The sequence below is a fragment of the Homo sapiens genome, chromosome 1 (genome assembly GCF_000001405.40).
Source record: "Homo sapiens chromosome 1, GRCh38.p14 Primary Assembly".
Taxonomy (NCBI): domain Eukaryota; kingdom Metazoa; phylum Chordata; class Mammalia; order Primates; family Hominidae; genus Homo; species Homo sapiens.
The window spans coordinates 246,606,076-246,619,831 of NC_000001.11; the positions used below are offsets into that span (position 1 = coordinate 246,606,076).

Sequence of the window (13,756 nt, forward strand, 5' to 3'; positions counted from 1 at the left end):
GGGCACCTCGGAAAAAAAGAAAAAATTTTGGCGTATTCTTGAGAGACGGGTTGGTATCCATCGTGTCGTTGTAGCAGGAGCATCGTCTGGATTGTCTGGCGGTTAACTGTAGTTTCAACAAGAGTTTTAATGGCTTTTATTATCAGTGGGATACCACAGGGGAGAAACAGGAGGACCCCAATGATGAAGATTACTGTCCCTACCAGCGTTTTAAATCCCCCTAAATTAGAGAACCACCCTCCTAGAAGGTTTGTTGGGTCCCATCCCTTCCAGGTTTGGACTGGTACACGGGCTACTTTTCTGATGTTTGAAGCGATTTCTAGAACCGCTTTTCCATTATCATCTATGTTAAGACAGCAATTGGACATGTTAAACTTAGCACAGACCGCACCCTCTTCTGTTAATAAGTAGTCTAGAGCCAGCCTGTTTTGATAAATTGCTGGGTGCGTTTGGTTTTGTTGTCACACGAGCATTTCCAGGGCTGAGGCGGTTTGGTTAGTGATTATCTCTAGAGCAGCCTGTAGTCTAATTATTCTATTTAGGATATATGTGGGAGTGCGATAACCCCGTGAACCATCCTCAGCCCAGGTGGCAGGACCGTAATATTCGATGATCCATTGCGGAGGCCACTCGTCCTCTCACGGTCTTTGGCTTCCTCCTGCCTTTAAGGACCGTTTTTCTCTGGTTATCATACGCAGGGACTCCGAGGGTGTTGCCCGCCTGCTTTGGAAGTAAGATGAATCCAGGTTGAATTGTGCGTAGGAAGCTAGTGCTAAGGTAGCCGTGAGCAAGCCTGGGTTCCCCATATCCAAAGGAATCCATCGGGGCAGTCCGTCGTCAGCTGGTGTTCCTAGGATTGTCGCATAGTGCACTTAGGCAGGCGTATGTGGCAGAAGAGTTAGTGGTGTTTGTACAGTTCCAGGCCTTTTTTGACAAGACACAATTGAGGTAGCTGAAGTTAGAGGGAGACCAGGCTCCGGGGGGTAACCTTGGCCACCACTCGGCTGTGGAGGCGTTGACTGTTAGGGTTTGGTGACGGGCTTTCACCTGCGGCACGATGGGTTTTATCAGTCCACTTGCGGGATATGCACGCCGTCCCTCTTACTGGGTTGGTAAGTGTCCAGGTCGACGGGCGTTCCTGAGAATTCAAAGTGAGGCTGGGGTTTTGAAATGCTAGTAATTAAGGGGGAAGGTCTATCCCATGCCACGGCCACTGTTCACTCCTGCGGGCTCCCCCGCATACCCAGCAATTGGACACATTCGTGGTAAGCGCGATGCCCTCTCCTAGATCTACAAACCGGTTTTTTCCTGGCTAGGGAGGGGATACGTCTGCTTATGGTTTTTGTATAAAGGGATGGAAGTACCACGGGTGATTTTCGGGGGAGTTAACCCCGGGAGCGCGCCAACAGACAGCACAAGGCAGTGTGGAGCCTCACGCTGTTTAAAGAGCGCCTGGGTGCAGACGGGCTGAGGCCTGAGATGGCGTCAGCCCCACGTGAGGACCGGGCAGGGGTTTTACAGTCTCCTGTAAACAGGAAGTGTCCCTGTCTGACGTCACTGCTACGTGGTACCCGGATGGCCTCTCTCTCGATCCTCAGGAGTAATGTCTTCCGGCCAGCCCTCTTCCTGCTTCGGCTACCTTGGTGACACATGCTGCTGGCGCAAGTGTGCTTTGGGACTGGGCCTGAGAAGGGAGGAGTTATTCATCCCCCCAAGCTTTCAGGCCCCGGGGAGAATCTTTCAACGCTTACAATCCCAGCACTTTGGGAGACAGAGGTGGGCGGATCACGAGGCCAAGAGATCGCGACCATCCAGACCAACATGGTGAAACCCCATCTCTACTGAAAATACAAAAATTAGCCGGGCATGGTGTCACCCGCCTGTAGTCCCAGCTGCTCGGGAGGCTGAGGCAGGAGAATCCCTTGAACCGGGGAGGTGAACATTGCAGTGAGCCGAGATTGCACCACTGCACTCCAGCCCGGCAACAGAGCAAGACTCCGTCTCAAAAAACAAAACAACAAGAAAACAGAACAAAACAAAACAAAAACCAGCCTGGAAAACATAGAGAACCTGTCTCTACAAAAAAAACAAATAAATAAATAATAAATAAATAATTTAAATTAGCTGGGCATGGTGGCATGTGCCTGAGGTCCCATTGACTCAAGAGGCTGAGGTAGGAGGATCATCACTAGACCCCATGAGTTCGAGTTTGTATGATCCTGCCACTGTACTGTAGCCTGGGCAACAGAGACCCTGTCTTTAACGTTTTTTTAAAAAAGAAGAGGTTTAAGAATTAGCATCACAAATTGCATGCTTGGGCAAATGTCTTACACAGTTTTAGTTTTTAATAAAACGTGTTAAAGTGTAAAATGTCTAATCAAACTTCTGAGAGGAAAAGTAGAGAATCCAAACATTAATGCTTATTGACATGTTCTACATAATTTAGATGCTAAATCCCAGAAATATTTATGTGTACTGATTGTGCCTTGATTAGAAAGCCTGAAGCAGGCTCTAGACAGTGGTGGAGCTTGCGGGAGTCACATAAATGCTGTGTGATCAACAGGATTTAAGCCCGTGGGTTACCTGCTTTTACAACCTAAGCACCAAGGGATGGGGAGCCTTGGCCGTTAGCAGCCTAAGGGAGCTCTTGTTCCCACGCATTTTTCAAATTCCACTGGAGTTTCATGAGGTTCGTTTTAAGACTGCCACCTGAAATCAAGTCCAGTGGCTGTTCCTGTCTTCCCGTCCCTGTATTGACATTAAAACCACTTAGTCAACACTCAAGTGCAAGAATAGTGTCGCCATGTTGTATGCCTAGTAAATTCTGGATGTACGTTGTACGTCACCTTATTTAACCTTTTGCCATTAGTTTACAAGAAGACGGGTTGAGCGAGTCAGGTTGCTTACTTTAGGTTAACAGGGCAGCTGGACTCCAGCCTAAGCTCTTCAGTGAAGCCCTGCATCACTCCCTCTGCAGGCAGAGGGTGCAACCCGGGGGTGTGGGAGGGAGCATGGCACACTCAGCACGTGGTAATTATGTCATAATCACATAATACATTCTTTTGGCCCGAGGTCAGGTCAGAAGGAAGTTGACTAATTTCCAGATTTATTTCAGTCATAATACCCGTGTCTAGTGTTGAGGAAAAGGAAGGGATGTTTCCTGTTTGCTGCTTCGGTATGGTTAGCCAATGACTGGAGGTATTTAAAAGGTGAGCACTGGCCAGGCACGGCAGCTCACGCCTTTAATGCCAGCACTTTGAGAGGCTGAGGCAGGCGGATCACCTGAGGCCATGAGTTTGAGACCAGCCTGGCCAACATGGCAAAACCCCGTCTCTACTAAAACTACAAAAAATTATATGGGCATGGTGGTGGGCGCCTGTAATCCCAGCTACTTGGGAGGCTGAAGCAGGAGAATTGCTTGAACCTGGGAGGCAGAGGCTGCAGTGAGCCGAGATCATGCCATGGCACTCCAGCCTGGGCAACAAGAACGGAACTCTGTCTCAAAGAAAAAAAAGTGAGCATTGTCCTTCACCCTCCTTTCCATTTTCATGGCATTGATCAGAACCTTAGAGGATGAAACATGTCAGAAAAAGGGAGCAGGGCAGAGAGATTCTTCACAGGAACCACATCAAGCGTGTGTTAAAATTTATTTCTGATCTGCCTTCCAAAATTATGCCCAAGATATGCATCAGCATTAATGGGTAAGGCGGTTTGAGGAATTCGGTTATGCAATGACTCAAAGACCCATTAAATCACAGAACTGAAGACATTTTTTTCTGTACATAAATGTGCCATTTTAACCATTTCATTCTACAGTTCAGTGGCATTAATTACATTCATAATGTTGTGCAACCATCATTTATATCTATTTCTAAAACTTTTATCTCCCCAAACAGAATCTCTGTGCCATTAAACAATAACTCCCAGCCAGGCGCAGTGGCTCAGGCCTGTAATCCCAGCACTTTGGGAGGCTGAGGCGGGTGGATCATGAGGTCAGGAGTTCAAGACTGGCCTGGTCAAGATGGTGAAACCCCATCTCTACTAAAAATACAAAAAATTAGCCAGGCATGGTAGCGAGCACCTGTAATCCCAGCTACTTGGGAGGCTGAGGCAAAGAATTGCTTGAACCCAGAAGGCAGAGGTTGTAGTGAGCTGAGATCGTGCCACTGCACTCCAGCCTGGGCAATGGAGCGAGACTCCGTCGCAAAAACAAACAAACAAACAAAAAACCTCCCCATTCTTTTTTATATTTTCTGTCTTTTTTATTGATATTCTCATTTTTTCCTACATTGTCTTCCTGATTTCCTTTAGTTCTTCATCTATGGTTTCTTTTAAGACAGTTGATTTAAATTCTTTGCCCAGGAAATTCAATGTCTCGGCTTCTTCCGGGATGTTTTCTGTCTATGTATTTCTTTCACCAGAATGGGCCACACTGTACTGTTTTTTTGATATGCTTGGTGATGTCTTTGTATTGAAAACCGGACATTGGTGTATTATGATGTGGTAACTCTGGAAATTAGGGTCTCGCCTTTGTTCAGGGTTGGCTGTTCTTGATTGCTGAAGCCTTAGCTTGTGTTTCTTTTCCAGTCTTTCAGATTGGCTCTGTGCTCAGGTACTCCTTTAACACTTAGCCAGGTCATCTATAATTCTGCCCCAGCCTTCACTTCTGCTTGCACTAAGTTGATGGGTCTTCTCTGGCCCTTTCTAAGCGTGCGTCGTGTCCTGAGCTGTCGCGTGTAGCTTTCTGAATTCTACAGTACCACAAACATTTTTGAATGCTCTGATTTCCCAAGGAAGCGATCTTCCTGGCTTTTCCCCCTGGCTTTAGATTGTCTAGTTTATGCCTCAACCGTATTTTTTTTGCACCCCTCCGCCCGCTTGGCCGTGGGTTTTTGATCACCTGACAATATTTTCCAGCAACACCTGCTGCTTTTCTGCTCTGAACGTGTTCTGAGTTTTGCAACAGAGAGGCAAGTGCCTTGTTTCAGTCTTTGGGTAGCCCCAGACAGATTAGAACAAACACAGTGATTTGCAAGTAAGATCTGCTCTGCTCCCTTCAAAAGCAAGTACTGGGGTGCCACACTGGGAATGAGGGCTGCTGTTGAGCTGGGGAAAGGGGTGAGGTAAGGGCAAGTAAAAACACCCAAAGCTTTGCTACTCTTTTGACATTGCCTTTCTCTTGATTCGGTGGTCACTGTCTTGTTCAGGCATACCTTTGTTTTTCACAGTTCTAAGAAAGTTACATCTTATAGTTCTGGATGTTGTTTTTTTTTAAAATATTTCTGTGAAAGCCTCAGAGTTTGAAGCTGCCTGTTCTGTCATTTTGCTTATGACACTCAAGGCCTTTTCATTTTAGGGCTTCCAGTAGCAAGAACTGTGCCCAGAGGGATGGAATTAGATCGAACTGCTCTGAAAGAGTACTACTATTTCATATTTTTATACAAAAGCATATTTTAGATAAGGATGTCATTGATTTAGAAACTCAAACCAATTAATCTTTGGGAAGTAATATTATCTCTGTTTTAGAGATGGAAAAAAACCAGCACAGATATTGAAGTCTCAAGACACTGGTTGAGATAGAGTTAAAATAATAGAGCTTTAGGAAAACAGTTACACATAGAATTACCATTTAATCCAGCCATTAACTTCTAGGTATATACCCAAAAGAATAGAAAGCAAGGACCCGAGCAGATACTTGTACACTAAGGTTCATAGCAGCATTATTCACAGTAGCAAAAAGGTAGAAACAATCCAGATGTCCATCAACTGATGAATGGATAAACAAGATGTAGTATATACATATAATGAAATGTTCAGATTTAAAAAGGAATGCTAATCTGATACACGCTACGTATGGTTGGATGGATGCTACAGCACAGATAAACCTTGAGGACAGTATGCTAAGTAAAAGAAACCAGACACAAAAGGACAAATATTTTATGATTCCACTTATATAAGCTATGTAGAATTGGCAAATTCACAGAGACAGAAAGTAGAATAGAGGTTTCCAGAGCTGGAGCAAAGGGGAATGAAGAATTAGTATTTTATGAGCACTGAGTTTCTCTTTGGGAATGATGAAAAGTTTTGGAAATGGATAGTGGTGATGATTGAACAACATTGTGAATGTATTTTTTTGTTTGTTTGAGACAGGGTTTTGCATTTGTTGCCCAGACTAGAGTGCAGTGGCACAATCTTGGCTCACTGCAACCTCCACCTCCCAGGTTCAAGTGACTCTTCTGCCTCAGCCTCCCAAGTAGCTGGGATTACAGGTGCATGCTACCACGCCGAGCTAATTTTTTGTACTTTTAGTAGAGACGGAGTTTCGCCATGTTGGGCAGGCTGGTCTCGAACTCCTGACCTCAGGTGATCCACCTGCCTCAGCCTCCCAAAGTGCTGGGATTACAGGCGTGAGCCACCGTGGCCAGCTGTGGACGTGTTTAATGCCACTGAATTGTATACCTTAAAATGTTTAAAATGTTAAATTTTGTGTTATGTTTTTTTAAAAAAATAGCCCCCCAAAATCATAACAGGTCAGGCGCAGTGGTTCGATCCAATAATCCTAGCACTTTGGGAGGCCAAGGCGGGCAGATTGCTTAAGCCCAGGAATTCGAGACCAGTCTGAGCAACATGGTGAAACCCCATCTCTAAAAAAATACATACAAAAATTAGCCAGGGGGTGTGCACTTGTTGTCCCAGCTACTTCAGAGGCTGCAGTGGGAGGATCACTTGAACTGGGGAGGTCGAGGCTGCAGTGAGCCATGATTGTACCACTGCACTCCAGCCTGGGTGACAGAGTGAGACCCTGTCTCAAAAAATATATATATAACACTCCAAACTCAGTGTTAGGGACATACAAAGCTTAACTAATTGAAATTTGCTGAGTTTTAAAACATAGTTCTCGAGCATTTATTATTTACTATATGCCAGCCACTGTGGTACATGCTTTATGTGGATTATCTCATTTACTCCTTGTCACAATCTTATCAAGCATAATACAATTAGCTCCAATTTATAGATGTGGGATCTGAAGCACAGAGAGATTAAGTAACGTGCCCGATGTCATTGCTGAAAAGTGTATCACTGAGATAAAGTACATCCCAGGACTTCATCCCAGGTAGTCTGACTTCAGACTTTGTGTCTAATGGTTAAGCTATACTATCTCACTTTTGCTGAACTTTAAAAGTGTGCTTAAAGCAATACATGACTTTCCACAATTTGCCGCAGAACAATTATTGCACATTCCTTTCCTCAGGGTGTGTTGGTGGCTATGATTCCTGCCTGCCAGCCTCAGCAAGACAAAACACAATCAGAGAAAAGGTGGATGGTTCACTCTTAAGGGAAGTAGTGGATTTGGGTTTGTTTCAGTAATCGTCTCTGAATAATGGCATAACCTTCTCTCAGATTTTTAATTTGATCTAGTTTCATTGCAGTGAAAGGAAGCTTTAACACTTGGATCAAAGAAAGTATTTGTATAAAAGCAGCGAATGTAGTTTTGAATGATAGGGTACTTGTACTCTGAATAGTAGTATACAATATTTGAACTGTATGAGGCCTTTTTTTATTCTTTCTTTCTCTCTCTCTCTCTCCTCCTCTCTACCTCTCCTCCTCTCTCCCTCTCTCCCTCTTCCCGTCTCCCTCTTCTGAGTCTAGCTTTGTCTTCCAGGCTGGAGTGCAGTAGCCTGATCTCGGCTCCCTGCAACCTCCACCTCCCAGGTTCGAGTGATTCTCCTGCCTCAGCCTCCCGAGTAGCTGGAACTACAGGTGCACACCACCATGCCCAGCTAATTTTTTGTATTTTTAGTATAGATAGGTTTCACCATGTTGGCCAGGCTGGTCTCGAACTCCTGACCTCAGGTGATCCACCTGCCTTGGCCTCCCAAAGTGCTGAGCTTACAGGCATGAGCCACTGCACTTGGCCTGTGTGAGGTCTTTAAATAACCCTTCCCTATCCTCAAAAATGCCCATCAGCTTAGTTTATGCATCAGTAACACTACAGGTTGAACATCCCTTATCCAAAATGCTTGAGATTGGAAGTGTTTCATATTTCAGGTTTTTTTTTGATTATGGAATATTCGCATATATATAGTGAGATATCTTGAGGATGGGACCCAAGTCTAAACACAGCTTTTTTATGTTTCCTATACCCACCCTGTGTATAGAGACTGAAGGTAATTTTATACAATATTTTAAAATAATTTTATACATGAAATAAAACTTTGACTGTAACCTCTCACATGAAGTTAGGTATAGAATTTTCTCCCTGTGGCATCTTGTCAGCACTAAAAAAGTTTCAGGTTTTGGAGCATGTCGGATTTCAGATTTACAGATCAGAGATGCTTAACCTGTATCATCGTATATATAATAATTGCCACTCTTTACCTAGGCCTTGGTGTTTTCTGTGTGACATCTTTCCAGTCCCCATTTTGACTGCAATAAATTTTTTTTTTTTTTTTTGGAGACAGTCTCGCTCTCTACAACCTCCACTTCCTGGGTTCAAGTGATTCTCCTGCCTCAGCCTCCTGAGTAGCTGGGATTATAGGCATGCGCCGCCACGCCCAGCTAATTTTTGTATTTTTAGTTGGGACGGGGTTTCACCATGTTGGTCACACTGGTCTTGAACTCTTGACCTCGTGATCTGCCCACCTCAGCCTCCCAAAGTGCTGAGATTACAGATGTGAGCCACCATGCCCGGCTGACTGCAATAATTTTTTATTCTCTTAATTACTTACTAACTAGAGTACCAGCTGTGAGATTTTGCTCTTAAACATCCAGTCACATCATTTTCCCAATCATGCAAAGAAATGGTAATATCCTTAGTGATATTCACAGAGCATTGTGAATATCTGCCGATCAATGCTAGACTATTAAAAGGAACGTGAATGTCAGGGTACATTCCTAGTGTTTTAAGGTAAAAGTCATTAAAGGATACTACTATATTGTTTCACAAAATGCCTCTTGACCATTATCAGAGATAGATTCTAAGCTAAACGGAGCAGTTATATGTTAGAACTGACACAGAATTCAGGCGGTGTGATCAATTGAATAAAATTTCTCAATCAAGGTAATTTCCCCAGTCTTTGGCCCATGGTTATTACAAAAAAAAAATTTTTTTTTCTTTGAGACGGAGTCTCGCTCTGTCACCCAGGCTGGAGCGCAGTGGCGCGATCTCGGCTCACTGCAACCTCCGCCTCCCGGGTTCACGCCATTCTCCTGCCTCAGCCTCCCGCGTAGCTGGGACTACAGGCGCGTGCCACCAGGCCCGGCTAATTTTTTGTATTTTTAGTAGAGTCGGGGTTTCACCGTGTTAGCCAGGATGGTCTCGATCTCCTGACCTCGTGATCCGCCTGCCTCGGCCTCCCAAAGTGCTGGGATTACAGGCGTGAGCCACTGTGCCCGGCCACAAATAATTTTTAAAAAGAAATAATACCTCTTCACAGCTACTCAGGAGACTGAGGCAGGAGGATCATTTGAGTCCATGAGTTCAAATCCAGCCTGGGTAACATAATGAAACCCCATCTCTGGGCCGGGCACGGTGGCTCACGCCTGTAATCCCAGCACTTTGGGAGGCCGAGGCAGGTGAATCACCTGAGGTCGGGAGTTCAAGACCAGCCTGACCAACATGGAGAAACCCCGTCTCTACTAAAAATACAAAATTAGCCTGGCATGGTGATGCATACCTGTAATCCCAGCTACTCGGGAGGCTGAGGCAGGAGAATAGCTTGAACCCAGGAGGTGGAGGTTGCGGTGAGCCGAGATTGTGCAATTGCACTCCAGCCTGGGCAAAAAGAGCAGAAACTCCATCTCAAAAAAAAAAAGAAACCACATCTCTGAAACCCTTAGTAGTTACATGTAAACTGTCATCTCCATTTTAGAGCTTAATGAAGTTGACAGGTCTTAAATTAGGTCTTATGAATGTGCCTGTTACTGTCTTTAAATACTTATAAATAGCATCACCAAGTTATTTAATGGGTAGTTTTTAACTATAGGTCACTTGGCTTTCACGGATGACAACGATAAATAGAACTTTTTGTTCTTGTCTAGCTATATGGATTCATATGTGGCAGCAGAAAGCTTCATTTATATTGAGTGAGATTTTGTAGGGAATTACATGGGGCGGTATGTTTTGATTTGGTTTTTCTCCTTAACTATAAATATATCTTGAAAACTTTTTGTGTATCAGAAGGAATTTTAGGTCAGACATGGTGGCTGGCGCCTGTACTCCCAGCATTTTGGGAGGCCAAGATGGGAGGACCAGTTGAGGCCAGAAGTTGAAGACAAGCCTGGGCAACATAGCAAGACACCACCCCCACTGCCCCCCCAGAAAATTTAAAAATCATCCGGGCTTGGTGGTGTGTGCCTGTGGTTCCAGCTACTCGGGACACTGAGGTGGGAGGGTCGCTTGAGCCTGGGAGGTTGAGGCTTCAGTGAGTCATGATTGGGCCACTGCACTCCAGCCTGAGCAACAGAATGAGACTTATTTTTTTCTTTTTTCTTTTTTGAGTTGGAGTCTCACTCTGTTGCCAGGCTGGAGTGCAGTGGCCCAGTCTTGGCTCCCTGCAACCTTCGCCTCCCGGGTTCAAGCAGTTCTCCTGCCTCAGCCTCCCGAGTAGCTGGGACTACATACATACGCCACCACGCCCGGCTAATTTTTGTATTTTTAGTAGACACGGGGTTTTACAATGTTGGCCAGGATGGTCTCAATCTCTTGACCTCATGATCCGCCCACCTTGGCCTCCCAAAGTGCTGGGATTACAGGGGTAAGCCACTGCGCCCGGCCAATACTTTTTTTTTTCAAGCAAAACTTTGTAAGACTCATGTGACATCAAACGTAATAATAAAAATTTTTTGAAATTCACACGGAAAAATACTAAAATTTCCGTGTTACATCATGAATGCTTTAATATTACTTTAAAATCTTAGTATATTATAAAGACACACAATTCACAATTGTCAACTCACAGCACATCAGTCTAAGTACTCCTGATTATGCTAATGTTTATTTTCTTTATTATTGCTTTTACTAAAAATAAGCTCTTAGCATATTATCCCTTACTAAAAAGAAATGAACTGTCAAGCATTAAAAGACATAGAGGAAAATTTAATGCATGTTACTAAGTGAAAGAAGGCAATCTGAAAAGGCTACATATTGTATGATAAAATGTGAAAAAATATATACAAGCTCAATGATGTTCAAACCTACAGTATTGGTGAATAATAACCTAAGCAATTTAATACTCCAGCTTAGTTCTTATAACTCCTATTATTCACTATGACATGAGTCATATAAACTTTATTAGCTTTAACTACACTTTCCTCTGAATGTTTGTCCTCAAATAAGATTGGACTTGTCTCAGAACTGCTTTACCACTCTTGTGACCTTTTTCAGTTAAGTGACAATAAAGCTGTTTTTCAGGCTGAGACTTAGGGGCACTCCTGCTTTTGGCATGCACTGTCTCATTTAATCCTCACACTAATATTATAAGGTAGATGCAACAGCCCCCATGTTACAGAGGAAAAAATAGAGGATCAAAGAGATTAACTTGCCAAAAGTATGGCTAATAAGTAGGTGAAGCATGCTGAGAACTTAGGGCTGCCTTAATATCCATGTCATTCTTCCAACTCTTTGGCAACAGTTTTCTAATATGAGTTCTTTACCCCATTAATGCTGTGAAACTAAGAACACCATATTTTAAGTGGCTTAAAATTCCAAGCAACCAGAATATGGCTAGTGTTACTTTCCTATTTTATATGTGCCTAAAGTAAAGTACATCCTTGGTCATTTCATAACATGTATAACAATTGCTATGATTATTTGAGCCACGATAGAATTCTATTCTAAGAGCTTGGCAGAGCTAGAAGAACAACCTGCTCTTTGGTAGGGAGTATTGCAGCACGCTTCTTGCAAGGACATTCAGTTTTCTTGCCTGAAAAGCAAACACACCACTATTTGTGTAGTCACCAGTCTAGGCAAGGGAGGAACAATGGTTTTAAAAATACACCCAGAAAGGAACTAGAAGATACTTGTATTAGGTGGGTAACCTTACCTTCCATTATCGTAAATAGTTGCTCAAGCTTCTTCACAGTAATGGTCTGCATTTCTTATGTAGCAAAACCTCTGGAGATTTTGAATGTTTTTGATGGTCAGAACTAGAGAACTTCTCTATCCAATCTCTTCGTTTTAGGTAAGGAAACTATATAGGTCAGCAAGTAAAAAGTCTAATCGAAGGTCTCTTGGAAAAATCATAGCAGAACTGAAGTCTCTTGCTCCTTTCCCAGTGCTCTCTGATTTTATATTACTCTGTCCCCACAAGGAATGTTATCTCAAGGTAAGATGGTTTTGTATAGTAATGGTTATCTCTGAAGCTCATGTTGTTTAAGGCCTGACAGATAATCCTTTTGTAGTATGAGTCTTGTAGTTTTGCTAACGTCTTCAGTGATTTAGTGTGACCCCTCTGAGCCTAGATCATATTTTCCTTCCCCTCCCTACACTCAATGATTAAAGTACGATATTCTTTCTAATTGCCCATTAGCCCCCTGCTGCTCTTGGAATCCTTAGACTTCTGTGGGCTTTTGGAACTTCTGCTGTTAGGTTTCATGAATAATAGTCCCCTTTCTGTTGAGTTTCTCTGGTTACATCATTTTATTTACCAATGTATTGCTTTTTAATATCAGTAACATTGAATATTAAAGTAGGTGATAAAATGGATCAAGCAGGAAACTTGACCATTACAAATCGATGCTAACTAAATAACCGAGATAACCACGATGCAGGTTGCCGATTATCCAGGACCCTTTTTTGATCTCCTTTGGAAAGGGAGTCATCAATTCTGTCCTTTTTCCTTAACTTTGAAAGTCCATCCTTCTTTGGCAATAGTCTTCAAGGGTTTTATTTAGCTCCCTTTTACTAAAAACAAGCATCACAAAATCTCATCTGTTTTTTACAAAGAAGCCTGGAGTAATACCCTGATAACTATAGGGGAATAATGTCATCAACAGAAGAATAGAATTTGGGAAGCTGACCTTATCACAGTCTATGAGATTAAATGTCTTGGGCATAGTAGTGTAGCTAGAGAAAAGGGAAAAAAAAAAAACACTAATTCTCTTAGTTTCTTTGTAGTTCTCCGTGGAAAACTCCTTTACCCACATTGGTACCCTTTTGGTTTTGCTGCTATGGTGGTTAGAAAATTAGAAAGCAGAAGAATCACCTCCTGTTTTTAGAAATACCCTAAAAAATGGCAGGCCATCACTGGGCCTTGTACTTCTAATGGCCAAAATGTATAGCAACATAAAGTGTCTAGAAGAGAATTCTCTAAAATACAAGTAATCACTGTAGGTGATTTTTTAAAGAAGCACAGCACGTGGAATTGTAGTGTTGAAGACACCATGCTGGGTATCACTGGAATAACCCCTGTGCTGCCAGCGTTGATGTGAAATAGAAGATGACATCTTAAACCAATTACTGTACTGCAACCTAGCGTCATACGAGGCCATATACCAGGTTCAGAGGAAAGTAACTTGACTTCAAGCTCATGTTATAGGGAAAGATGTGGATTTTATTAGAGTAGAACATAAATAGGCTTAAACAGGAGGAAAATATTCTAGCCGTTAGGATCTGTAATTGCTCAGAAAGGCAGGAAGTATTTTACTTTGGGAGATGAAGAATGGACCAGTCTGGCCAGGGCAGTGGGTTTCACATTCAAATCCAAAGATATGAACTACAGGGCAGTAGAAGGCAGGGCTCTGGGCACACTCTACA

At 43.1% G+C, this 13,756-nt stretch overlaps 1 protein-coding gene and 1 long non-coding RNA gene across 11 annotated transcripts in view; one reads left to right on the forward strand and one right to left on the reverse strand.

Moving 5' to 3' along the window:
- Positions 1–13,756, forward strand: part of CNST (consortin, connexin sorting protein) — a 102,140-nt gene that overhangs the window by 39,620 nt on the left and 48,764 nt on the right. Inside the window, exon 2 of one of the 10 annotated variants that reach the window (XM_047447906.1) lies at positions 12,183–12,326. The exons of the other annotated variants lie outside the window; for them this stretch is intronic. Coding sequence (XP_047303862.1) covers positions 12,314–12,326 — 13 coding nt within the window. The 5' untranslated portion in view covers positions 12,183–12,313. The remainder of the gene's footprint in view (positions 1–12,182; positions 12,327–13,756) is intronic. 10 annotated transcript variants of the gene reach the window in all.
- Positions 120–2,995, reverse strand: LOC105373271 (uncharacterized). Its single transcript, XR_001738569.2, has 2 exons — positions 2,908–2,995; positions 120–1,138 (listed from the first exon to the last, which is right to left on the reverse strand). It is a non-coding gene; the product is annotated as an uncharacterized LOC105373271 (long non-coding RNA).